The sequence below is a fragment of the Homo sapiens genome, chromosome 13, assembly GCF_000001405.40.
Source record: "Homo sapiens chromosome 13, GRCh38.p14 Primary Assembly".
NCBI classification, from domain to species: domain Eukaryota; kingdom Metazoa; phylum Chordata; class Mammalia; order Primates; family Hominidae; genus Homo; species Homo sapiens.
Window position 1 is genome coordinate 24,571,936 of NC_000013.11, and position 25,880 is coordinate 24,597,815.

The following is a 25,880-nucleotide window of genomic DNA, read 5'->3' on the forward strand; positions in this document are numbered from 1 at the left end:
ATTTTTGGCTATTAATATTATGATATAATAAAAAATAAATATTTGGTCCTTGTCCTTAGTTCCTGACACACAGTTCCTGAAGTCCTTGGAATCTCCAGAGTGATGACTGAATTAATCACCAATGGTGAATGGCAGTGATTATCAGTGAGAACCAAACCTAAGTCTGCAGGCTTAGGGCAGGGGCCCAGACAATTAGAGGGGCTCTTCTCTTTGAGACTTGTCATCTAGAACTCATTGTCACTGGAGGCCAAAGCATAAATGAGCCTATCGGTTGCCTTGGGTTACAAGAACAAGTTTTAATTAATTAATTAATTAATTATTTTGAGACAGACTCTTGCTGTGTCGCCCAGGGGCTGGAGTACAGTGGCACGATCTCGGCTCACTGCAACCTCTGCCTCCCTGGTTCAAGCAATTCTCCTGCCTCAGCTTCCCGAGTAGCTGGGACTATACGCACATGCCACCACACCAGGCTAATTTTTTTTATTTTTAGTAGAGACGGGGTTTCGCCATGTTGGCCAGGCTGGTCTTGAATTCCTGACCTCAGGTGCTCCACCCACCTCGGCCTCCCAAAGTGCTGTGGTTACAGGTGTGAGCCTCCATGCCTGGCCAAGTCTGAGTTTTTGTTGAGAAAGCCAAGTAGCAGTTCAGGGACTTGTGGCCACCAATTGTCTCTGAGATTCAAAGTCTGTTCTTTCTATTGGGGACTGAGATGGACAGATAATCATGCAGACTTAAGGAGGAGCCATAGCAATGATTTGGCATGGGAGGAAGTCTGAGCTAGCAAGAACTGGAGGAATAATTTCCCTCTGTAGGAATTCCTGCTCTACCTACTTGCTATAGGAGTAAAGTGGTCATGATTTAAACAGTCTTGTCTGTACCTGTTATGTTATAAGGATGTGTTCATGGCCCTATCTGCTAAGAGTGAGTTGTTCTTATAAATAAAATAAAAATTAGTAAATTTATACACAATTTGTTATGCAAATCCTAAGAGTGATATTCCAAAAAGCCAAATTTTAGAAGTAAATAAGTACATAAATTGGCCTTTTTTGTTGAGACGGAGTTTTGCTCTTGTTGCCCAGGCTGGAATGCAGTGACACAATCTCGCCACACTGCAACCTCCACCTCCTGGGTTCAAGCGATTCTCTTGCCTCAGCCTCCTCAGTAGCTGGGATTACAGGTGTCCACCACCACGCCCAGCTAATTTTTTGTATTTTCTTTTTTTTAGTAGAGAAGGGGTTTCACCAAGTAGGCTAGGCTAATTTCAAACTCCTGACCTCAGGTAATCCACCCGCCTTGGCCTCCCAAAGTGCTGGGATTACAGGCATGAGCCACCGCACCTGGCCAAGGAAGACACTTTAGATGGTGCCAGAGTTGAGGATTTGGCCTGCGACTTATTGCAGTTGCCGCACTGCAGTTTCCACACTGTGGCCTTAGAAGAGTCTTATCCAGACCTGAAATCCCAGTGCCTTGGAAACATCAGGACTGGTCAGAAGGACAGTAAGTCCTCAAGGCACCAGCCCCTACTTCTCCACACAGATTGAGAGGTAAGTATTCTAAGCTCTCTGCAGGGCCCATATCCTGGATGTGGACACCCAGTCCTGCTAGGACCTGCTTCCAGAAGAGTTGATCCCAGCCATGAAACTGCCCTGATATCTTTATCCTGTATCAGCCTTGTGAGTAGTCAGTAACTGGGACCACAGGCGCGTGCCAACAAGCCTGCTTAATTTTTTTTGTAGAGACGGGTTTCGTCATGTTGCCCAGGCTGGTCTGGAACTCCTGAGCTCAAGTGATGCACCTGCCTCGGTTTCCCAAAGTGCTGGGATTACAGGCGTGAGCCACCACGTGCAGCCCAATTTGTGATCTTTTATGCATTGTTTCTTTCATGTAGCATGTTTTCAAGGTTTATCCAACTTGCAGTGTATTAATGCTGAATAATATTTCATTGTGTAGACATACTGTATTTTTATTTTTAAAATTTTGTTTATTTTTCATTGGTACACAATAAATATTTGTACATATTTATGGGGAACAGATATGTTGTTACATGCATAGAATGTGTGATGATCAATCAGGGTGTTAAAGGTATCTGTCACTTTGAGTATTTGCCATTTCTATATGTTAGGAACATTTCAAGTCCTCTCTTATAGCTATTTTGAAACACACAATACATTGTTGCTAACTGTAGTCACCCTACTCTGCTATAGAACATTCAAACTTATTCCTTCTGTCTAACTGTATTAACCAACCACCACTTTTCCCTGCCAACCCTCACATGCTTCCCAGCCTCTGGTATCTTATCTATCCACCATCAACTTTCTTAGCTCCTACATATGTGATAACATGCAATATTTGTCTCTCTGTGCCTGGCTTACTTCACATAACAATGACTTCCAGTTCCATCCATGTTGCTGCACACGACATGATTTTATTCTTTTTTATGGCTGAATAGTACTTGAAAAAAAAAAAAATATATATATATATATATATCACATTTTCTTTCCTTCTTTCTTTCTTTCTTTCTCTTTGTCTGTCTGTCTTTCTTTCTTTCTTTCCTTTTTTTCTTTTTTGAGACAGAGTCTTGCCCTGTTGGCCAGGCTGGAGTGCAGTGGTGCAATCTTGGCTCACTGCAACCTCCACCTCCCGGGTGCAAGCAATTCTCTGCCTCAGCCTCCTGAGTAATCCCGAGTAGCTGGGATTACAGGCATCCGCCACCATGCCTGGCTAATTTTTGTATTTTTAGTAGAGACAGGGTTTCACCATCTTGGGCAGGCTGCTCTTGAACTCCTGACCTCGTGATCCACCTGCCTTGGCCTCCCAAAGTGCTGGGATTACAGGCCTGAGCCACCGTGCCCAGCCCACATTTTCTTTATTCATTTGTTTGTTGATGGACACTTAGGTTGATTCTATATTTTTGCTATTGTGAATGGTGCTGCAGTAAACATGGAAGTACAGGTATCATCTCTTTGATGTACTGGTTTTGTTTCGTTTGTATAAACACCCAGTAGTGGCATTGCTGGATTGTGTGGTAGTTCTATTTTCAGTTTCCTGAGAAATCTCCATACTGTTTTCCACAGTGATTATACTAATTTACATTCTTACTCAGCAGTGTAAAAGAGTTCCCCTTTCTCCACATCCTCACCCACATCCATTATTATTTTGTCTTTTTAATCATAGCCATTCTCACTGGGTGAAAATGATAGCTCATTGTGGTTTTAATTTGCATTTCCTTTATGATTAGTGAGATTGAGCATTTTTTATATACCTGTATGTCTTCTTTGGAGAAATATCTGTTTATGTCCTTTGCCCAATATTTATGTATGATGTGTGTATGTATGTATGTATGTTTTGGAGTCAGGGTTTTGCTCTTTTGCTCAGGCTGGAGTGCAGTGGCATGGTCTCGGCTCACTGCAACCTCCACCTCCTGGGTTCAAGTGATTTTCCTGCCTCAGCCTCCCGAGTAGCTGGGATTATAGGTACCTGCCACCACACCCAGCTAATTGTTTGTATTTTTAGTAGAAATGGGGTTTCACCATATTAGCCAGACTGGTCTCGAGCTCCTAACCTTGTGATCTGCCCGCCACGGCCTCCCGAAGTGCTGGAATTACAGGCGTGAGCCACTGTGCCCAGCCTCTTTTTACTGTTTTTGACTTAAAGTCTGTTTTATCTGATATAAGTATAGCTACTCCTGATCACTTTTGGTTTCCCTTTGCACAGAATATCTTTTTCCACTCCTTTCCTTTCAGTCTATATGTCTCCACAGGTGAGGTGAGTTTCTTGTAGGCAGCATATATTTGGGTCATTTTTATTTTTAAAATCCATTCAGCCTGTCTATATCTTTTCAGTGGAAAGTTTAATCCATTTACATTGAAGACTATTTTTGATATGTGAGGGTTATTCCTGTCATTTTATTAATTGATTTCTGTTGCTTTATTTGTCCTTTGTCTCTTTCTTTCTCTCTTATTGTTTATCACTGTGGATTGGTGGTTTTCTTTAGTGAAAACCTTTGAATTGTTTTTCTTATTTGTGTGCTTGCTCTACCAGTGGGTTTTATACTTTCCTGTGTTTCCATGATGGTAGATACCATCCTTTTGCTTCTGGGTATAAGACTCCCTTACATATTTCTTATATAGCTGGTCTAGTGGTGATGAATTCCCTCAGCTTTTGCTTGTCTGGGCAAGACATTATTTCACCTTCATTTATGAAAGATAACTTTTCTGGATGTAGTTTCCTTGGCTGATGGTTTTTTTCTTTCTGAACTTAGAATATATCATGCCATTCTTTCTTGGCCTGTAAGGCTTATGCTGAGAAATCAACTGTTAGTCTGATAGGAGTTCCCTTATTTTCTCCTGCTGTTTTTAGAATTTTTCTCTGTCTTCAATTTTTGACAATTTGATGATAATGGGCCATGGAGAAGATCTTTTTGAATTATATCTGTTTGGGGATCTGTGCGCTTCCTGTATCTGCATGTCTAAATCTCTTGCTACACTTGGAAAGTTTTGTTACTTTGTTAAATAGCTTTTCTATCCCCTTGGTTTGTTCTTTGCCTTCTGAGACACTGAAAATTCAAATGTTTGGTTGCTTTGTGGTGTCCCATGTGTCATGTAGGCTTTGTTCATTGCTTTTTTCTTTTTTTTTAATTTTTGTATGATGGGGTTATTTTAAAAGATCTGTCTTCAAGTTCTGAAATTTGTTATACTGCTTGACCTAGTCTGTTGTTGAATTTTTTTTTTTTTTTTTTTTTTTGAGACAGAGTCTGTCTCTGTTGCCCAGGCTGGAGTGCAGTGGTGCCATCTTGGCTCACTGCAACCTCTGCCTCCTGGGTTCAAGCAATTCTTATCCCTCAGCGTCCTGATTGGCTGGGATTATAGGCACACACTACCATACCCAGCTAATTTTTCTGTTTTTGTAGAGATGGGGTTTTGCCATGTTGGCCAGGCTAGTTTCGAACTCCTGATCTCAGACAATCTGCCTGCCTAAGCCTCCCAAAGTGCTGAGATTACAGGCATGAGACACCATGCCTGGCCTTTTTTTAATGTTTATTCCACATTGTGTCAGTCCTCACATGTCTCCTGGGATCCATCTGATATGTAATCTGTTGGTTTCCCAGCAGTAATAATTTCATGTAAAATCCCAAATCTGACCTGAAATATTTTCTCTTCTCATTATCTTTACATAAATATTAACCATTTTGACATACTGAGATATAATTCAGTTGGTTCATGACTATGCTAGTAGCTCCATTTTTATATATAAATAGACATGCCTAAATCCCGTTTATTTTTTTGTATACACATTTATTTAATTTTTAACTTTTAGGTTCAAGGGTACATGTGCAGGTTTGTTATATATGTAAATTTTGTGTCATAGGGGTTTGATGTACGGATTGTTTTGTCACTCAGGTGATAAGCATAGTACCTGATAGGTAGCTTTTTGATACTCACCATCCTCCAGCCTCCAACCCTCAAGTAGGACCCAATGTCTGTTGTTCCCATATTTGTGTTCATGTGTACTCAATGTTTAACTCCCACTTATAAGTGAGAACATGTGGTATTTGGTTTCCTGTTCCTGTGTTAGTTTGCTTAGAATAATTTTTAAGCTGGATCTGGATGGCCTCCAGCTCCATTCATATTACTGCAAAGTGCATGATCTTGTTTTTATTTTAGGGCTGCATAGTATTCCATGGTATATGTGTGCCACATTTTTTTAATTCAGTTCACCATTGATGGGCACCTAGGTCAATTCTGTGTGTTTGCTATTGTGAATAGTGCTGCGATGAACATATGCATGCATGTGTCTTCATGGTAGAATGATATTTATATTCCTGTGGGTATATACTCAGTAATAGGATTGCTGGGTCACAGGGTAATTCTCAAGTTCTTTGAGAAATCACCAAACTGCTTTCCATAATGGCTGAACTAATTTACATATCCACCAGTAGTGTATAAGCATTCCCTTTCCTCTGCAACTTTGCCAGCATCTATTTTTTGGCTTTTTAATAATAGCCATTCTGACTGGTATGAGATGGTATCACATTGTAGTTTTGATTTGCATTTCTCTAGGATCAGTGATGTTGAGCGCTTTTTCATGTTTGTTAGCTGTGTGTATGTCTTCTTTTGAGAAGTGTCTGTTCATGTCCTTTGCCCTTTTTTTTTTAATGACGTTTTTTGCTTGTAAATTTCTTTAAGTTCCTTATAGATTCTGGATATTAGACCTTTGTCAGACTCCACCTCCTGGGTTCAAGCAATTCTCCTGCCTCAGCCTCCTGAGTAGCTAAGATTACAGGCACCTGCCACCACACCTGGCTAATTTTTGTATTTTTAGTAGCAATGGGTTTTCACCATATTGGCCAGACTGGTCTCAAACTCCTGACCTCGTGATCCACCCACCCGCCTCAGCTTCCCAAAATGCTGGGAGTTCTTTAGGTTTCTATTAGGTCCAATTGGTCAAGTGTTGAATTTAAGTCCAGAATTTCTGTGTTAGTTTTCCGTCTTTATGATCTGTGTGATGTTATCAGTGGGGTGTTGAAGTCCCCTGACTATTGTTGTGTGGCTAAGTCTTTTCATAGGTCTAGAGGTATCTGTTTTATTAACCTGGGTGAGCCAATGTTGGGTGCATATATATTTAGGATAGTTAAGGCTTCTTGTTGAATTGAACTCCGTATCATTATGTAATGCTCTTCTTTGTCTTTTTTTACTATTGTTGGTTTAAAGCCTGTTTTATCTGTTTTAGGAATAGTGACCCCTGCTCTTTTTTGTGTTTTGTTTGTGCGATAGATCTTTCTTCAACCCTTTACTTTGAACCTATTGGTGTTGTTACATGTGAGATGGGTCTCTTGAAGACAGCAGACAGATGGGTTTTGTTTTTTTAATCCAATTTCCACTCTGTGACCTTTCTTTCTTTCTTTCTTTCTTTCTTTCTTTCTTTCTTTCTTTCTTTCTTTCTTTCTTTTTTTTTTCAGAATCTCTCTCTGTCATCAGGCTAGAGTGCAGTGGCATGATATTGGCTCACAGCAACCTCTGACTCCTGAGTTCAAGTGCTTCTCCTGCCTCAGCCTCCTGAGTAGCTGGGATTATAGGCATGTGCCATCATGCTTGGCTAATTTTTATATTTTTAGTAGAGACAGGGTTTCTCTACATTGGCCAGGATGGTCTCGATCTCCTGACCTCGTGATCTACCCACCTTGGCCTCCCAAAATGCTGGGATTACAGGAATAGCCACCGCACCCAGCCCACTCTGTGACTTTTAAGTGGTGTGTTTACATTCAAGGTTACTATTGACATGTGAGCTTTTCACCCTATCATGAAATTGTTAGCTGGTTTTTTTGTAATTTCTATTGTGTGGTTGTTTTATAGGGTCTGTGAGCTATGTACTTAAGTGTGTTTTTATGATAGCAGGTATCATTCTTTCATTTCCATGTTTAGAACTCCCTTAGGCATCTTTTGTAAGACTGGTCTAGTGGTAATGAACTCTCTTGGCATTTGCTTCTCTAGAAAAATGTTTTTATTTCTCCTTCACTCATGAAGCTTAGTTCGGCAGGATATGAATCTTTTGATTATAATTTATTTTCTTCAAGAATTCTGAAAATAGATACCTCAATCTCTGCTGGCTTGTAAGGTTTCTGCTGAGAAGTCTGCTGTTATCCTGATGGGGCTACCTTTGTATGTGATCTGGCCTTTTTCTCCAGTGCCTTTAGGGCTTTTTCTTTGACAGTGACCTTGGACAGTCTGGTGAGTATATGCCTTGGTAATGTTCATTTTTTATAGTATCTCACAGGTGCTGTCTGGCTTTACTGTACTTAGATGTCTATCTAGCAAGATTCAAGAAATTTTCTTGAATTATTCCATCAAATATGTTTTCCAGGCTGTTTTCTTTTTCTCTTTCTCTCTAGGGCATGCCAGTAATTCGTAGGTTTGATCACTTTACATAATCTCATATTTCTGACTTTCTTCACTTTTAAAAAATCTTTTTTCTTTATCTTTGTCTGACTGGATTAGTTCAAAAGACCAGTCTTCAAGCTCTGAAATTATGTTTTCTACTTTGTCCAGTCTATTGATAAAGCTTTCAGTTGTATTTTGAAATTCCTTAAGTGAGTTTTTTTAATTCTAGAAGTTCTGATTGATTTCTTATTAAGATGTTTATCTCTTCCTTCATTTCCCGGATTGATGTAGAAGTTTCTTTTTGTTGATTTCAACCTTGAATCTCATTGAGCTTCCTTGCAACCCAAGTTTTGAAATGTTTATTGTTATCTCTGAGTTTTCATTTTGGTACGAAGCATTGCCAGAGAGCTAGTGTGATCCTTTGGTAGTGTCACTACATTCAGATTTCTCATGGTGCTAGAATTCTTGTGTGGGTCCTTCTCATCTGGAGATGCTAGCACTTCTAATTTGTGTAATTATTTTTGTTTGGGTAGGATTTTTTCTTTTTCTTTCCTTTTCTATAATATTATTGTTATTTTTTTCTTCTTTCCCTTTCCCTCCTCCCTAGGGGTGTGGCTGTAGAGCATGCTGGGTAGGGTCTTTTGGCTTTGCTTCTGTAGCCCTAATGCACTTCTGCCAGCAGGTTTTATATTGGGTGTGTGGTTTGACCTACAAGCCAGTAGATGGCGCCATGGGTAAGAGCTGGCTGTTGCCAGTGCTGCTGGCTGTGTACTTGATCCTTGTTTATTGGGAGGAGCTCTCTCCTGCCCCAGGCAAAGGGCTGATTTCCTGAGTACACATTAATCTGAGCTCCCTCAGCCCTAGGGGTAGGGGGATTGGGGGCACAAGATGGGTGGAGCCAGATAGGGAAGATTCCCCCAGTGTTGTCCTGCTCCCAGTCCAGGTTTGGGACAATGCCGGCAGCGTTTCCCTGTGTCTTTCCCCCACAAAGTCTCCAAGTCTCTCCTCAAATGAGCTCCAAGGCTTGGGAGAAACAATCTCTTCCTCTGCCCGGGTTGCGTGGATCTCCAGTGGAAAGGTGAGACAGAGGGATGCTGTCTGCCTCTCTCACTTACTGAGGCTTCACTCACTTCTATCAGTCGAATGCTGTCCTGAGGGCTGCTTGCCTGCAATGTCCTCCGCAAGATCTGGGATGTCCTTCATAATTCCGGGGAATTGCCATTTCCTTTCTTGAATTAAAGCTCACAGAGTTGGTCTTTATGTACTTGCTTGCTATTTCCAAATGACTGAGGCATGCTAAAAGCCTGTAATCTGCCATCTTGGAAAAAACATCCTTGCATCCTTAAGAGAAATGGCACTTGGTGTTGATACATGGTGTTTCTACATTGCTGAATTCACTTTGAAAATATATGTATATTTTAAAATCTACATTTATATGTGAGACTGGTGTAAAAATATCTTTTATTCTACTGTATTTGTGCAATTTTGGAATCAGTTATATTAATATACTAAATGAGTTGGCAATTTTTCTTTTTTACTATTATCCAAAAAAATTATAAAAGACATAATTGTTGCTTTCTTATAGATTTAGTAAAAACCTCATCGTGTCCTTTTGTGGAGCGATGGTGAGAGATATTTTTACTGTAAATGTAACTTGCGTATTTTTCACCTGTGAGGCAGAGGTTGCAATGAGCCAAGATTGTGCCACTGCACTCCAGCCTGCGTGACACAGCAAGACCCTGTCTCAAAAAAAAGAAAGAAAATCAACTTAAAATGCACTCCTTGAATATTTCTGAGTGTATTTTTATACCACGTATGTTCCTTGAACTAACTTCTTTTCTTTTCTAGGAAGAACCGGAACTATGATTTGTGCCTTCCTTATTGCCTCCGAAATATTTTTAACTGCAGAGGTATGAAAGATGTTCTACAAACTTTGTCTTATGATGATTGAGTTTGCTAGTTCTGAAACATCACTGGTAGGACGTTAAGGTGTTATTTGAGTCATGGTGCTTAGTAAAATTGTAATTAGAGAAGCAGTTTTTAGAAAGTCTGTTTTTGATACTTTCTTGTTTAACGTGCACTAGTTAGTAGCTGACCTCAGAATCTCTTTGGGCAAGGACTAGAGTGAGGTCAATGAGGTGCAACATTTAAGGGAATGCTAAAAATTGTAATAATTAAAATAAATAATTTTAACACAATATTTTAATAAAAATTAACGTAAAAAAATCTATGATGTATACAATATCAACATTTTAAATAAAGACAAGACCTGATGGGGCAGGATTAAGGTGCGGGGTGTAAAGCCATGTTACACAGAAAAAAACATTCAGTAATCAAGATGCTTCCCTCACTTCACCTGGCTCTGCTCTTACTCCTGCCAGTACCATGTCTTCTTCCTTCCTCGTGAGAATAGTATCAAGCTTAATTAGATAAATTCTCCAAAGAGCCTTGCCCATCCTCACAACTCTTAGGTAGATAAAAAGCAACATTTCACAACTCAAAACAAAGCCTCTCCTGAATGTAAGTATCTTTGCTTAGTCAATACATGTGGAGTCTGTGACCTCTAGAAATTTCTGATAAGACAAGGTGGGCTGTTTCCACTTAAAGCAGAGTTCTCAGTCATTTTTCTTTCTGCCATTTTCTTGCTGAGATGCTACCATTTCCAGCAGCTCTGCTCGAGTTGTTTGGCCTGCAGTCTAGGGAAGAGGTGGTGGTTGTGCACAATGCCCAGCACTCCCATTCCACCACCTTTGCTTTCTCTGATTTGAGATACACAGATTTTGAAAATGGGTGTTCTAGGATGGTGTTTTTCAAGCTATGGATCATGATTTATCAGTGAGTTGTAAAATAAAGTTACTGGGTTGTAACTGACATCTTTTAAAAATAAAATGGAATAGAGCAGAATAGAAAATATCAAAAGGTTTAAATATTGGGGTGTGTGTGTGTGTGTGTCTCCTAGGTTTATTAATGTGGATTGCAGCTTAAAAAACAAAAGGTTTGAAAGTCATTGACAGCCATTGATCCAGAGCCCTAGACTGAGATCCAGGGACCTGTATCTGCTGTGCTGCTGCTTCTAACTGGCTGCAGCATCTCCTTGGCAGGTTGCTTGGTTTTCTTTTGGTCTCAGTGTTGTCATTTGTAATATGGAAAGAAGGGTTGGACCAGATGCTTTCTAAGGTCTTTCCAGCTCTAAAATTTTATGAATGTATGAATCCTTGAATGAGAGAAGTCCTAATTTTGTTATTTTCACTAACCTCTGCCCAAAGATCACTCGGCCGGGCACAGGTGGCTCACACCTGTAATCCCAGCACTTTGGGAGGCTGAGGCAGGTGGATCTCTTGAGGTCAGGAGTTTGAGAGCAGCCTGGCCAACATGGTGAAACCCCTATCTCTACTAAAAATCCAAAAAATTAGCTGGGCATGGTGGTACACACCTGTAGTCCCAGCTACTCAGAAGGCTGAGACAGTAGAATCACTTGAACCCAGGAGGCAGAGGTTGCAGTGAGCTTAGATCCTGCTACTGTACTCCAGTCTGGGTTACAGAGCAAGACTCTACCAAAAAACAAACAAACAAACAAACAAAATCACTGACTTTAGGAAAGAAGGTGGGTGTAGAAACCCTAAGGGTACCTAATATAGGAAAGGAAAGAGTGCAGATGAACCATGGTTGGATTGTACCCTTTTTTGCAGGAAAGCCTGTATTATTTTGGAGAAAGGCGAACAGATAAAACGCACAGCAGTAAATTTCAGGGACTAGAAACTCCTTCTCAGGTAAGTTTTCTTTTTAAAAATGGGAGGTTTTTTTAGGGGAGTGGGTTAAGATTGCCAGCTGTTATTTGGTTTCATTTTAGACTCTTCTCCTTTGGTGATCAGGCAGCAGCAGTTGGGTGCCCTGCAACAGGCCTTGGTCCCTCCCTGAGTCTGAGGGTCACGCTTTAGGTGCTGCCCACATGCTGGGGACTCTGGCTTCTCCTCAGAGAATCCTGCTTTCTATTCTATACTGGTTATTGTTTATGGAGCTCAGGAGTTGATTATTTTCCCAAAGTAGGAAGGTCCAGTACCCAAGGCTCCAGGACTCTGAAGTGTGTCTAAAATCACCAGCCTTTGATTTCAATGTAAAAAAGATCCAAGTCTTTCACAAACCCTTACTTGGGCAATTCAACCCTTGCAAAACATCACAAAGAACTGTTTTTGGATGACTCATGGTTGTGTGTGTGTGTGTGTGTGTGTGTGTGTGTGTGTGTGTGTATTTTCTGTGTGTTGTGGGGGAGGTGTATTTTAAAAGAGAAAATAAAAGGAGAAATAAACTTTTCAAAACCCCTTCTGTATACCAGACAGTATTGCACTTTTACGTATCTCATTTAATACCCATAACACCTATATGAAATATACACTGTTACTCTGTTTTTTCTTTTAGAAACATTTTGTTATGGAAAATTTTAATCATATACAAAAGTCCAGAGCATCATACAATATATCCACATATAGTCGTCACATTGCTGCAACAGTCATTTCAGCCGGCAGCCAGCCACATTTCATCCGTTCTTTCCCACTCCACTCACACCCCTCAACCCCACTCTCCACTCTTGCTTTCCCTAAATCTGAGTTATTTTAAAGGAAATTTCAGTCGTCAGATCATTTTATCCCATAGCATTTTAGTATGACATTTAAGTACTCTTAAAACAACAACAAAAAACCTTAACACTTTTTATCATATCTAAAAATATTATACCTTAAAAATCCTTCATATCAAATTTGTAGTCCATGTTTGTTTCCAGAATTGTCTTAAAATCTTTGAAAATTTAGTTTGTTTAATCAGAATTCAAACAAAGTCCACACATTTCATTTGGTTGCTGTGTCTCCTAAGTCTCTTTTAAGAATCTAAGTTCATAGATTTCTCACCATTTTTTATTACTTGTAATTTGTTTATTGCAGAAACCAGGATGTTTATCCTATAGCATTTACAACATTCTAGACTTTGCTGAACTATTCTAATATTCACTATCTCATTTAATATTCTCAATAACTCTATGAGTAGGCACTACTGTCATTCTCATCTTATAAATTAGAAAATTGAGGTTCAGAGAAAGTAACTTTTGAACCAAGGACTGAAATCTAGATGTCAGTCTCTGAAGCCCTTTTTGTGCACAGCTTCTCATTTATATTGCCTTTTCTATATTGCCCCTGAAACTGAAGTGAGAGTGGGTTGGGAATTCCGAAATGGATTTGGATGTGGCTGTAAATGAGTTTTTCTTTAAGTGGTGGGAGCTGAGTAAGTACTCTTGGCCCCGTTAGAAGAACACTCTAACTACCGGCCCTAAACCTTTAGTTTGGGCCAGAAGAACTCAGCCTTATCCACTGATACTTTTCTCCCACACCCAAGCCCAAAACAAAACAAAACAAAACAAAGATATTCATAGACCCTAAGCTAAAAGTGATAGGTGAATTTACTGAAGTGCAGCCCTAATCATGCCATTTCCATGCTCAAAATCCATACTATGTCCCCACTGCCAATGGCAATAAACTAAACGTTTCAACCTGGCACTCAAGAGCCACACTTTGACTTTTCCAACCTTCTCTTCCACTATGTGCATGCACACATCCCATACTCCAACACATTTAGACTGTGTGCTCTTTCCCAGCCTATGGACACTTGATACCCTCATGCCGTTGCTCATGCCCCCTTTTCCTAGAGTCCCTTTCCCTTCTCAGCCTGAAGTAGTCTCTTGCTTTTTCAATTCTTAGAGCCCTTTGTGTTTCTTTTAGAGACTACATCACTTTGCATCATTCTCTAGTTATTTGAAGTGGTGACTTCTGTATCCCCTTTAAAGGCAAAGCCCATGGCTTACCCATCTTTCCACCCTTTTCTCGTAATATCTTGTTGTTTGTAGTGAGTGCCTCCTATGTGTTGGTTGTATTAATTTCTACTACAAGTCCATGTTGTTTTAAGTTGTAGGAGAAGGAAGCGTGGGAGCACAAGCAGCTTGAGGGCCCTGGTGTTTTACAGCCCTTAGGGAAAGGTGGAGAATCTAGTGGCAGAAGCTAAGGGGATGCTAGGTGGAGCTCCTTCAACAACTCTCCCCACACATCTCCTCATCCCCATTTCTTCTGCAGTCATGCATAGTTTCCCTAACTTTAGTCCAGAACTAGCACATCAAAGCTGCAACTGAATCTCTTCTGATTCACTGAAAAAGCAACAAAGGGATTCAGCTGCACGTTTGAGAGCTGTTGGCAAGACCTCAGGACAGAGTGCCCTCTGTGTCTGGTGGTGATTCTCAGACACCATCACATTCTGATCCTGCATTGTTAGCCATTCTACTGACTACATCTACTCCTAAGTTAAGGACTTTCTTGAGCCTATCTCATGACTGGCCCTTTCTGAAGGGAAGTATGGCAGCTAGTTACTTTAATGAGCATTTCCCAATGGGTAAGGAACAGTCTGTGAACCTATGAGTTTTGTTTTGTTTTGTTTTGTTTTTAATTTTTGAGACAGAGTCTCGCTCTGTCGCCCAGACTAGAGTGCAGTGGTGCAATCTCAGCTCACTGCAACCTCGACGTCTTGGGTTCAAGCGATTCTCCTGCCTCAGCCTCCCAAGTGGCTGGGATTATAGGTGCCCATCACCACGCATGGCCTATTTTTGTATTTTTAGTAGAGACAAGGTTTCACCCTGTTGGCGAGGCTGGTCTCAAACTCCTGACGCCCAGTGATCTGCCCACCTCGGCCTCCCAAAGTGCTGGGATTACAGGCGGGAGCCACCATGATGGCCAACTTTTGAATTCTGAACCAGTTGATTGAGTACCAGAGCTCTTCAATACCTTGAAGAAAGATTCAGGGGAGAGCCGTTGTGAACAGCTTGCCCCAGGGAAAGGACAAGGCTGAGAGAATTCCAGGGCTTCCTTGAGAAAACAGAATTGAGGAAATGCAAAGTGAAGAATTCTAGCATCAGGAACAAGAGAAGAATGATGGAAAACCTGCTACTGAGGTATGGAGGTATTCCTCTGGAGTTTTCACTTATACCATTCTCTCATGCCCAGGAAGCTGCTCTTCACCAAACCACAAGCCTTCCTCTAACTCAGTCACAACTAAGCTTCTATCTGGACACTGATGATGCTGTAACTGTTTTGTTGTGCTTCTGATTAGTTGCCCTCTCAACCATAAGCAGCCTATAAACAGGGCCTGGCTCCATCCTTGTTACTTCCCCATTGCACTGAATTCAGTATTTTTCCCTCAAGGTAGATAGTTGTGGGGCAGCATCCCTAAAAATGTCCAGTTATATAATGGCATCCAGTAAATGTTTTCTTAATTACTTACCTCCATTAACAAGCTTTATGCAAAAAAAAAAAAAAAAAAAGGAATGCTGACTTTAGACTTCATCTCCACTTAAAGGAAGATTTCTGTTGCTTTTCACAATAGATATGTTGGATATTTTGCACAAGTGAAACATCTCTACAACTGGAATCTCCCTCCAAGACGGATACTCTTTATAATAAGATTCATTATTTATTCGATTCGTGGTAAGTGCTTTATGTGTAATTGAAGAATTGGGCAGGAGGGCCAATGTCCCCACTCTGGGAGAGTTTTGCTCATAGTTATATATACAGATGAGCCTAACTCATACCTGTCTTTTTACATATTGTCACACAGGAACTCCTCCTTATTTATGCCCCTCCTCCTGCAATTGCCCATTGATTGCCAGCCCTGAGATGTTCTTCACTTTTTCTTTTCCATCACCAACTTGGGGGACTTCATCCCCTTCCCATCTCTCCTGTTCTCATTGCTCCTCCGGTCTCAACCCAGGTGGACTTTTCCGGGCAGAGGGAGCCTCTGATGAGGGAGGAGGAGGACCCATGTGCCCTCAAGCCTGCTTATTTCTCAGAACCACCTCTAGTTCAGAGTTTGCCTTGGTGGAGGTGTCTCCGTATCGTATCATTTTCTCACCTTCTTTTAGAGGCATTTTTTTTTCTCATCACCCTGGGCTCTCCCTTTCCCCTCTCTCCTCCATCTGTAACCCTCTCACTCCCAGCTTACACTCAGGGGAGGCGGGAAAGCAGGATGTGTCTGTGTGGAAGGAATGGGGACTCACCACTCCCACTGCCAGAGAGGTAGCAGGGAGGTGATGCTTCGGAACCCCTAAAGCAAACCTCTTCTAGCAGCCAGCTTGTGGACCTGAGATGGTGCCAGTGCTGGGTGCTATAGGTGCCATGGGGCCAGGATGCTGGTGTCCACACAGACAGCGTAGTATTTTTAGCCTTCTGAGTTTAGTTCTACATTTCACTGATTTCTGGTAGACATCAATAGAAGGAAGTTCTGCACCTGGAATGGGAAAGAGGGAACTGAGGCAAGAAACTGTGATTTCTAATGACAAATGAATATCATGGTGTTAGTGAAAACAAAATTAAATGAAAAGAAAACAAACAGCATATGAGATGAGCAATCAAAGATAATACACTTGTTTATTAAAATATTTGTTTTAATTTTCTACCTTTAGTTTTGTACATATTTGAATTAAAATTAACGTAGAGTTGAGAGAAAAGCAATAAAAAAATTAATTGGCTGAGAAACCAAGTCTTTGAGGAAATGCTGAGGGAAGTGGGTCATTTGAATTGAAAAAAAAGGAACAAAAGAGCCTTTGTCTATAAATATATACTGAACACCACGGGAATTTTTGGATATAAAAATCCTATATTTTTATAGAGATTGCCTCAGGAACTGGCCTTAAAGTAGGGCCAAAGTAGTTAAACTCCAGTATTTATTATTAAGAATCATTATGATTAGAAGTCTGAGGAAAGCAACATATTAGCAAGAAAGGTTGCAAGTCACCTTCCCAGAATTGTCTTTTTCTTTTCTTTTCTTTTCTTTTCTTTTTTTTTTTTTTGGAGACAGAGTCTTGTTCTGTCATCCAGGCTGGAATGCAGTAGTGTGATCTCGGCTCACTGCAACTTCCACCTCCCGGGTTCAAGCAATTCTCCTGTCTCAGCCTCCTGAGTAGCTAGGATTACAAGCATGTGCCACCACGTCTGGCTGATTTTTGTATTTTTAGTAGAGATGTGGTTTCACCGTCTTGGCCAGGCTGGTTTAGAATTCCTGACCTCAAGTAATCCTCCACCCACCTCAGCCTCCCAAAGTGCTAGGCATGAGCCACCATGCCCGGCCTACCTTCCCTAAATATTTTTTCTGGAAAGATAAAGTGATGGGATTCTAAGTCTTTGAAGCTGAACTATGTATATGTTTTTTCTCTTCTCTAGTCTTATAAAATCTGCTTTAGGAGACAGAACTAGGCTTGAAGACTTGTCTTTCAAAGACAAAATCCATGCAAGACCAAATAAGTAACTATTGATAACATTGTTAGCTTGGATAATTTTTTCTCTTTTTAATCCATGATGTTAATTGGTGAGACATATTGATGTTCACGCTAACCAACCTAACTTTTTTATTTCATTTAGGTGTTGGAACAGGCGATGTATGTGATCTAAAATTCCAAATAGTAATGGAGAAAAAGGTTGTCTTTTCCAGTACTTCATTAGGAAATTGTTCAGTAAGAGAAAACATGTGAATTGAAAAACTCTGATGTTTGTTTTAAGGCTGAATGTCAAACCAGCAATGTTCACCTCCCTAAACTATCACTCACCATAAAGAGATTCCGTAACGCTTTCTGGTTACCATCCAACTTGGTGTCACTGGGTTTGGATGCAAACCAGAGATAAATTAACCTGTTTGTTCAAAACAGTTTTTTCAGGGTGCTTTCCAGAATTTATTTCTGGTCAGTGTTGCTTTGCCTTTCACACTTCCACAAATGCTGAGCATGTTCCCAGGAATGTATTAAGGATTTTAATTTACATATCTGGTCATTTTTAACCATATTCTCTTCTTCTCAGTCATTTGATCTTTTATTATATAGCACTGATTCTAAAACTTCAGTGTGCATGAAAACCACTGAGGAGCTTGTAAAGATTTACATTCCTAGGTTGTACCCCCAAAGTATGATTCGGGAAATCTGGAATGGGGCCCAGGAATCTATAGACTTAGCAATGTCCCAAGTGATTCTAAGTCAGACGTTCTGTGGGATGACCCTGTGAGAAACAATGCAAGGATGAATGAACTGGGGAGGAACCTCTTTATCCAAAGCAAAAGGGACCTGGTAGTCAATGTTTTGCTACAATGAAGAAATGCCTAAAACTATATACCTTTTCTGAAACAGTAAGAAAGCATCCTTCATGGTCTAATAACCATAAACTTTTAGAATTCCTACCCAGGCCTTTGTCTCAAATTCTCCTATTACTAACCCTATTCCCTGCCACCCCCTCCTCACTCCGCCCCCGGCTTTTTTGGCCTCTCCCGACTGAGGGCATTCACCCAGGCCTGACCCTTGGTTTTCTGTTCTTAGCAAATGCTTTATTCTTAAAGGGTGACCCATTCCCCTTACTTCAACTATTATTTGTTCATTTACTGAACAGCTGATGCAGGAGCTACAACATGAACAGTTTCCACTCCAACTCAAATGCATTAGCCAGTCTGAATTATCAAGGAGCTTTCTCTCTGCCTCTGCAAATGGCACCAGCATTCTTCCACTCACGCCTTGGGCTTTGATTCTCTTTGCCTCAGCCCCCTAAATCCAGCTAGTCATCCATCTCTGTTGATTATGGCTTTGACAGTTTTCTATGTTCTCCTTCCTTTCTGTTCTCACTGCCACTAATTGTCCAGAATCTCCTTTGCTCAGCGTAGATTTCTGCAGTGGTCTCCTTACCCTTTCTTTCTCCTTCTATAATGCAATGTATAGAATCCTGAAATATGCATCCTGAAATATTCCTCTCATTGTGAAAAATTGTAGGTAGAGCAGAAGACACACTGTGTGCCCATGGTCAGAGCCAGTTAACACCTTTGGCTCAACATCCTTATCTGTAAAATAAATAACACATCCAAGTGTAATGGGAATTCAATTAGATAATATATATAAAGTTTCTTTGTGAACTATAAGTCACTAAATAAGTGTCATATGTGATAATTATCAGGCCTCTTTGTCACATAGGAAATGCCCCACCATATTTTTCAACAACTTCTCTCTTTTTTCCTTGGCTGTTGAGCTCTTAAGATATAATAGCCCTAACGTAATACCTGAGCTTTTTTCCATCAGTAGCTTGACCAGCAGACTTCATTCCAAATAAACTGGGTCATCCCTTTTTGCTCTTGGAACACAACTCTAATTTAGTTATTTGGTTATAAATAAGTTATTTGGTTATAAATAAGTTAAAGAAATAACTTATTTCTTTCTTTCCTTCCTTTCTTCTTTTACTTTTTTTTTTTTTTTTCTTGAGCCAGGGTCTTTTTCTGTCACCCAGGCTGTAGCGCAGTGGCATGATCATGGCCTACTGTAGCCTCAACCTCGAGCTCAAGCAATCCCCCAATGTTTTTTTATGTTTTGAAGAGGCTGGGACTTGCTATGTTGCCCAGGCTGGTCTCAGACTCCTGGGCTCAAGCAACGCGTCCACCTCAGCCTCGCAATGTGCTGGGATTATAAACATGAGCCACACTGCCTGATATTGTTTGTTGTTGTTTTTCCAATTTTTTTTCTTTTCTTTTTGTTTTTGAGACAGAGTTTTGCTCTTGTTGCCCAGGCTGGAGTGCATTGGCACAATCTCGGCTCACCACAACCTCTGCCTCCTGGGTTCAAGCGATTCTCCTGCCTCAGCCTCCCAAGTAGCTGGGATTACAGGCATGCACTACCACGCCTGGCTAATTTTGTATTTTTAGTAGAGATGGGGTTTCTCCGTGTTGGTCAGGCTTGTGGGGAAAAGAAAGAGACATCAGACTGTTACTGTGTCTACGTAGAAAGAAGTAGACATAAGAGATTCCATTTTGTTCTGTACTAAGAAAAATTCTTCTGCCTTGAGATGCTGTGCTGGCAGAAACGTGCTGTGTTGACTCAAGGTTTAATGGATTTAGGGCTATGCATGATGTGCTTTGTTAAACAAATGCTTGAAGGCAGCATGCTTGTTAAAAGTCATCACCACTCCCTAATCTCAAGTACCCAGGGACACAAAACACTGTGGAAGGCGGCAGGAACCTCTGCCTAGGAAAGCCATGTATTGCCCAAGGTTTCTCCCCAGGTGATAGTCTGAAATATGGCCTCGTGGGAAGGGAAAGTTCTGACCGTCCCCAGCCCGACACCCATAAATGGTCTGTGCTGAGGAGGATTAGTGAAAGAGGAAGACCTCTTTGCAGTTGAGATAAGAGGAAGGCGTCTGTCTCCTGCCCCTCCCTGGGCAATGGAATGTCTTGGTGTAAAACCTGATCGTATATTCCATCTACTGAGATAGGAGAAAACTGCCTTAGGGCTGGAGGTGAGACATGCTGGCAGCAATACTGCTCTTTAATGCACCGAGATGTTTATGTATGTGCATATCAAAGCACAACACCTTTTTCTTAACCTTGTTTATGATACAGAGACATTTGTTCACATGTTTTCCTGCTGACCCTCTCTCTCCCCACTATTACCCTATTGTCCTGCCACATCCCCCTCTCTGAGATGGTAGAGATAATGATCAATACTGAGGGGACTCAGAAACTGGTGCCAGCGTGGGTCCTCCCTTTGCTGAGCGCTGGTCCCCTGGGCCCACTTTTCTTTCTCTATACTTTGTCTCTGTGTCTCTTTGTTTTCTCAGTCTCTCATCCCACCAAAGGAGAAACACCCACAGGTGTGGAGGGGCAGGCCACCCCTTCAAGGCTGGTCTCAAACTCCCGACCTCAGGTGATCTGCCCACCTCAGCCTCACAAAGTGCTAGGATTACAGGCATGAGCCACCATGCCTGGCCCATTTTTCTAATTTCTACTTTGCATTATTGCTGGTCTTTTTCCCTCCGTTTGGACTAGAGTCTATTTTCAGAGCTCTTCTTCCTTTATCTAAACTGCTTCATGCCCAATTCAATTTCTACCTCCTTAATGAAATTTTTGCATTCTGTACCTTCTGTTAACTAGCCCCCAATAGTGCATAACAGCACGCCCAGTCTTTATCATACAGATTATGTTATGTCCCATTCTACTATTGTTTCTTATGTGTACAGCTCCCAAAAGGGGCCAACTGAGTCTGCACCTCCTTTTGTGTTTTCTACAGGGCCTAGCATAGACCTTTCTTATTGTGGGTGCCTTTATTTATATGAGAGTGAGTCAAAGAAATAGTATAGCCTCAAAGTCATTCATACCATAACTTGAGCTATCTTTGGTTACTCCATCCAGCAGCCTGCATTGGTCAAGTTCAAAGATCCCATTGACAAACACAAGAGTTCTGATAAAACATGATGAGCAGGGGGACCCCACTCTCCCTCTCCCTTGGGAGGGGCATGCGGGCCCAACCCCCAAGTATTGCAGACCCCCGTTCTTATTTTTTAAATTTAGGAAATATAAAACCATGATGAGTTACACATTGCTTTTTGAATGTCAATGCTAGCTTTAAAATTGAGCTTCTTAATATATTCTCAAAAAAGGCCCTAACACATGAAAATCAAATGACACACATTAAATGATAATATTTAATTGATTAAAGTCTAATAGAAAATTCAATACTTTTTAAAAGTGTGGCACTTTTGAAAAGTGCCTCATGGCCAGGCACAGTGGCTCATGCCTGTAATCCCAGCACTTTGGGAGGCCAGGGTGGGTGGATCACGAGGTCAAGAGATTGAGACCATCCTGGCCAACATGGTGAAAGCCCGTCTCTACTAAAAATACAAGAATTAGTTGGGCGTGGTGGCACGTGCCTGTAGTCCCAGCTACTTGGGAGGTTGAGGCTGGAGAATCAATTGAACCCGGGAGGTGGAAGTTGTAGCGAGCCGAGATCATGCCACTGCACTCCAGCCTGCTGACAGAATGAGACTCTGTCTCAAAAAAAAAAAAAAAGAAAAGTGGTTCATGATAACCCTCAAACATGTTGGCCTTTAAAAGACATAAACAACAGGCCGGGTGCAGTGGCTCATGCCTGTGATCCAGCACTTTGGGAGGCCCAGGCAGGCAGATCACTTGAAGCCAGGAGTTTGAGACCAGCCTGGCTAATATAGTGAAACCCCATCTCTACTAAAAATTCAAAAATTAGCTGGGTATGATGGCATGTGCCTATAGTCCCAGCTACTCGGGAGGCTGAGGCACAACAATCACTTGAACCTGGGAGACAGAGGTTGCCGTGAGCCGAGATCACGCCACTGCACTCCAGCCTGGGTGACAGTGAGACTCTGTCTCAAAAAACAAAAAACAAACGAAAACACACACACACACACACACACACACACACACACACACACACAGACAACAGTATTGCAACTAGAAAAGATTATTAATAATTATTTATGCATGTAGTGATTGGGCTGTGAGACCAAAAGTACTTGATAAATATAGGAAGTCATGATAAGTGAAAAGGACCTTTTGTTATCGTTATCTAGGTTTGTAGTTCTCAATTCCATGTGTTCATTCACAGATACTGCATGACATTGAAACAGCTGGTGTATTAACTAATGTATATGACAGTCCATCTCTGTACGATGATGTGAAAGTGCAGTTTTTCTCTTCGGTGAGTAATCACAAAATAGCCTCTGCCATTGTTCTTGTCTGGTCTAATGATTTTATTTAAGATTTGCTTTACTACAATTCCCAACAAGGGAGGGGGAGGGGGAGGAAAACAATAAATCAGATCTATAACAAATTTTTTTAAAAGAACATATGTAATTTGAATAATTTTTGTTCATTTGTTTTTTTCTAAATTGTAAATTTTCTAAATTTTTCTAAATTTACATGTATTCTCAAATACATGTAAACACAAAAATACAAAATAAACACAAAAAAAGTAAAAGCCAAGATGCTAAAAAAAAAAAAAAAAAAACCCAAAGGTATGTTTTACTGCATAGCAATGATTACATTTTGTTTTGCATCTTTTTTAAAAAATTAAGAAGTTGAGACAGAGTCTCACTCTGTCACCCAGGCTGGAGTGCAGTGGCATGATCATAGCTAACTGTAGCTTCAACCTCCTGGGCTCAAGCAATCCTCCCACCTCAGCCTCCCGAGTAGCTGGGAGCACTGACTGGAAAGAGAGTTAGGTTTGGGTGACTCAGCTAGGTGAAACACAGAGGAGGTAGCACAATACAACACATGAAATAACCAAAACAGTTTTTTATTAATTCCAGAGAGAAGAGGGCAGCACACTTCGCAGGGCCAACTGGAAGGGGGAGCCATCCAGGAGACCTGTGCTCGACTGATGGGTGGGAGCAATAGCGAGAGACAGGGAGGGACCTGAGAGTGGAAGCCTTTATTGGGATGTAAGGTGGTACCTGAGCAGGTTTCCTGTGGGGAGGTCTAATTTGGTTTAACACAAGCAGCCATGAGTCTCTACTGTGACTGAGAGGTGGTCACTGATATATCCACGTGGTCCCTGCAGAGTATGGGGGCCTATGGGGGGAGTCAAGTAGGTTATATCTAGCTGTCCCATAATAAAGTGGTCACCAGGGGAAGGTTGTATAAGGCAGATATCGGGATCAGTCACATGGAGAAACTGGGAGATGAACTGGAAACTGCTGAGGGTGACTGAACCCTGCTTCTGATATCAGAAAGTCCAATTTATATTTAAAAGGGATGCTGAGGCAACAAAAAAATTATAAGAATTCACTACAATCTAGTTGGGTATATATAGGCATAGGTCCTTAGTAGAGTCTGTTTGGCACTATCTAAACCAGATTCAAATAGCAGCATTTAAATTAAATACCTATCATGGAAAAAATACTATTCCTTGAAAATTTTGATAGAAACAGCAAGAGAATGCAATAGCATTTTCTTAAAGCCTCCTCCTTTGTGTCTTGAGTGTATTATAGATTGCAGAGTGCCACATATTTAATGGTTATAATTGTTTGATAAATATAAAAAGGAATAAAGGAAGGAACTTTAATTTCTTTGGAATGATTAGTTCTTGGTATCAGTTTTACTTTGAAATTTTTTTTCTTTTTAGAATCTTCCTAAATACTATGACAATTGTTCATTTTTCTTCTGGTTCAACACATCTTTTATTCAAAATAACAGGTATGAATATAATATAAACCCATAGAAACAGCCATTAGGCTGTCTGCTCAGCACCTTCAATATATCAGGTCTCTGTCGGTAGGTGCTGATTTACCAGTGACGAACCACCACCAAATTTTGTGCTAAAGTAAGGCAGGACCTAGGGAGGCTTCAGCTAGATGAAAAGCTGACAGACACACTTAAATCTAGGAGAAGTTACAAGACACAGTATTAAGGAATACAGCTAAGAAATATCATTAAGTAATGGTCTATTTAAATAGCCATTTAAATGTGGCTTTCTAATAACTGAATTGGGAAATCTTTCTGAAAAATTATTAATTGGGTTTGGAGATTATTGTTCCAAAAAAACCTACCATATTTGGAAATGCATTTCTCAGTCTAGAAGTTCTCCACTATAAGTAGCATTTGTTTTGTGATGGTGAAAAATTGGGATTTTTTTTTTGTATCAACCATACTCTTCAATACAAAAGGACAAAATATTTTTTAAATGATTTAGGTCAGAATTGAAGAAGTGGCTATGATTATATGTGGCATGAATTGATAGTTATTGTTACATCCAGTCCTAATCTTTTCTTCAAATGTGAACTGGATCGAATAACTCCTTAAGTCCAGCAAGGCAACAGGAAATTAAACCTCTGGTCTACATACTTGCAATGCAAAACATTTAATGGATTTTGATAGAGTGAACTTTGGATTTGACGGAAATTTTTACAAGTTTTTTTTTTGGATGCATACAAACATTAAACTTTTTCTTCTAACATGAGCAAAGTCCCTCAAAAAGTGAGACCTGGATGTAGCTTCATTTGATGCTGCTCCTCGAAAGTGGTTCTTGCTAAAGGATACAGTCTTTTTCCTTTAAAACACTATGTTCATTTTGGAGAAGTGATAAGCTAGATCACTTTTATTCTTACTTTTATATAAATTTCTAAAGATTTCTTTAACATTTAAATTTACATATTACTTGGTAAAGCTGTTTTTGTTAGTTATGAGATTGTTGTTTAGCCAAAAATGCTAACTTCTATCATTTAGAACACTAGGCATAAGTGGGTTAACCAATTTATGCCTAGTGTTCCATTATTGGAATGCTCAGCATGTGGGAGTTATATCCTACTGCTCAAGGTCATTTCCAAGGTCTGATTGTAAAAATTCAAAAAATTGCAACCTCACACATAAATTAAAAGAGATATAGTATTTTATTACTGGGTTTTCATTCATGTCTATCCTGACTGATTTCTGTCACAGAGAGAAATTTAGATATTTTATTAAACTTGGAAGTCATTAATGCCATATAAAGCAATGCTAAGAGAGTCAGCATGTGTTACTGATGTGTTGCTGAAGATTAAAGTATTTTTAAGTCTCACCAAAAAGGTGGAAGGAGCCAACTGAGACACAAAAAAGGGGCTGAGGTTCTATTCACGGTGAGTTTCTTTTTTTGTTTCTTCCAGCTCTAACTAACGTGGGTATCCAACTGCGTGGCTTTTCGGTGAGCCCCAATATAAAATGTAATAATTTTTTTTCTATTCTTAGGCTTTATCTACCAAGAAATGAATTGGATAATCCACATCAACAAAAAGCATGGAAAATTTATCCACCAGAATTTGCCGTGGAGATACTTTTTGGCGAGAAATGACTTCCAATGACGTAGCTGGATCCGATTAAGTATAGTTTCCCCTTCCCCTTCTGGGAAAGAATTAATGTTCTTTCCAACCCCTGCCATGTGCATGTTCATATGTCCTAAGTCTTCCTTGATGATGTATCTATATTTATATATGTTTATATATGTTCTTCATAAATCTATTAAATATATATAGATAAAATGTCAGTGTTTTTCTTCTTTTTTGAAGGCACATACTTCACAGTTTCCATCTTGTATTTACATAAATTGGGAACACAGTATGCAGGAACATCAGGCATCATTTTGAAGAACTTTGAAATAGAACTTTCATAGCAAAAACT

At 40.3% G+C, this 25,880-nt stretch overlaps 1 pseudogene across 1 annotated transcript; it reads left to right on the forward strand.

Annotated features, from left to right (window-relative positions):
• Positions 1 to 8,272: 8,272 nt before the first annotated feature.
• TPTE2P6 (TPTE2 pseudogene 6) lies at positions 8,273 to 25,741 on the forward strand (annotated as a pseudogene). The gene is made up of 9 exons (NR_002815.2): positions 8,273 to 9,787; positions 11,567 to 11,647; positions 14,527 to 14,859; positions 15,291 to 15,391; positions 17,321 to 17,376; positions 22,336 to 22,428; positions 23,854 to 23,924; positions 25,167 to 25,342; positions 25,452 to 25,741. The product of NR_002815.2 is annotated as a TPTE2 pseudogene 6 (transcript).
• The last annotated feature ends 139 nt before the right edge of the window (positions 25,742 to 25,880 follow it).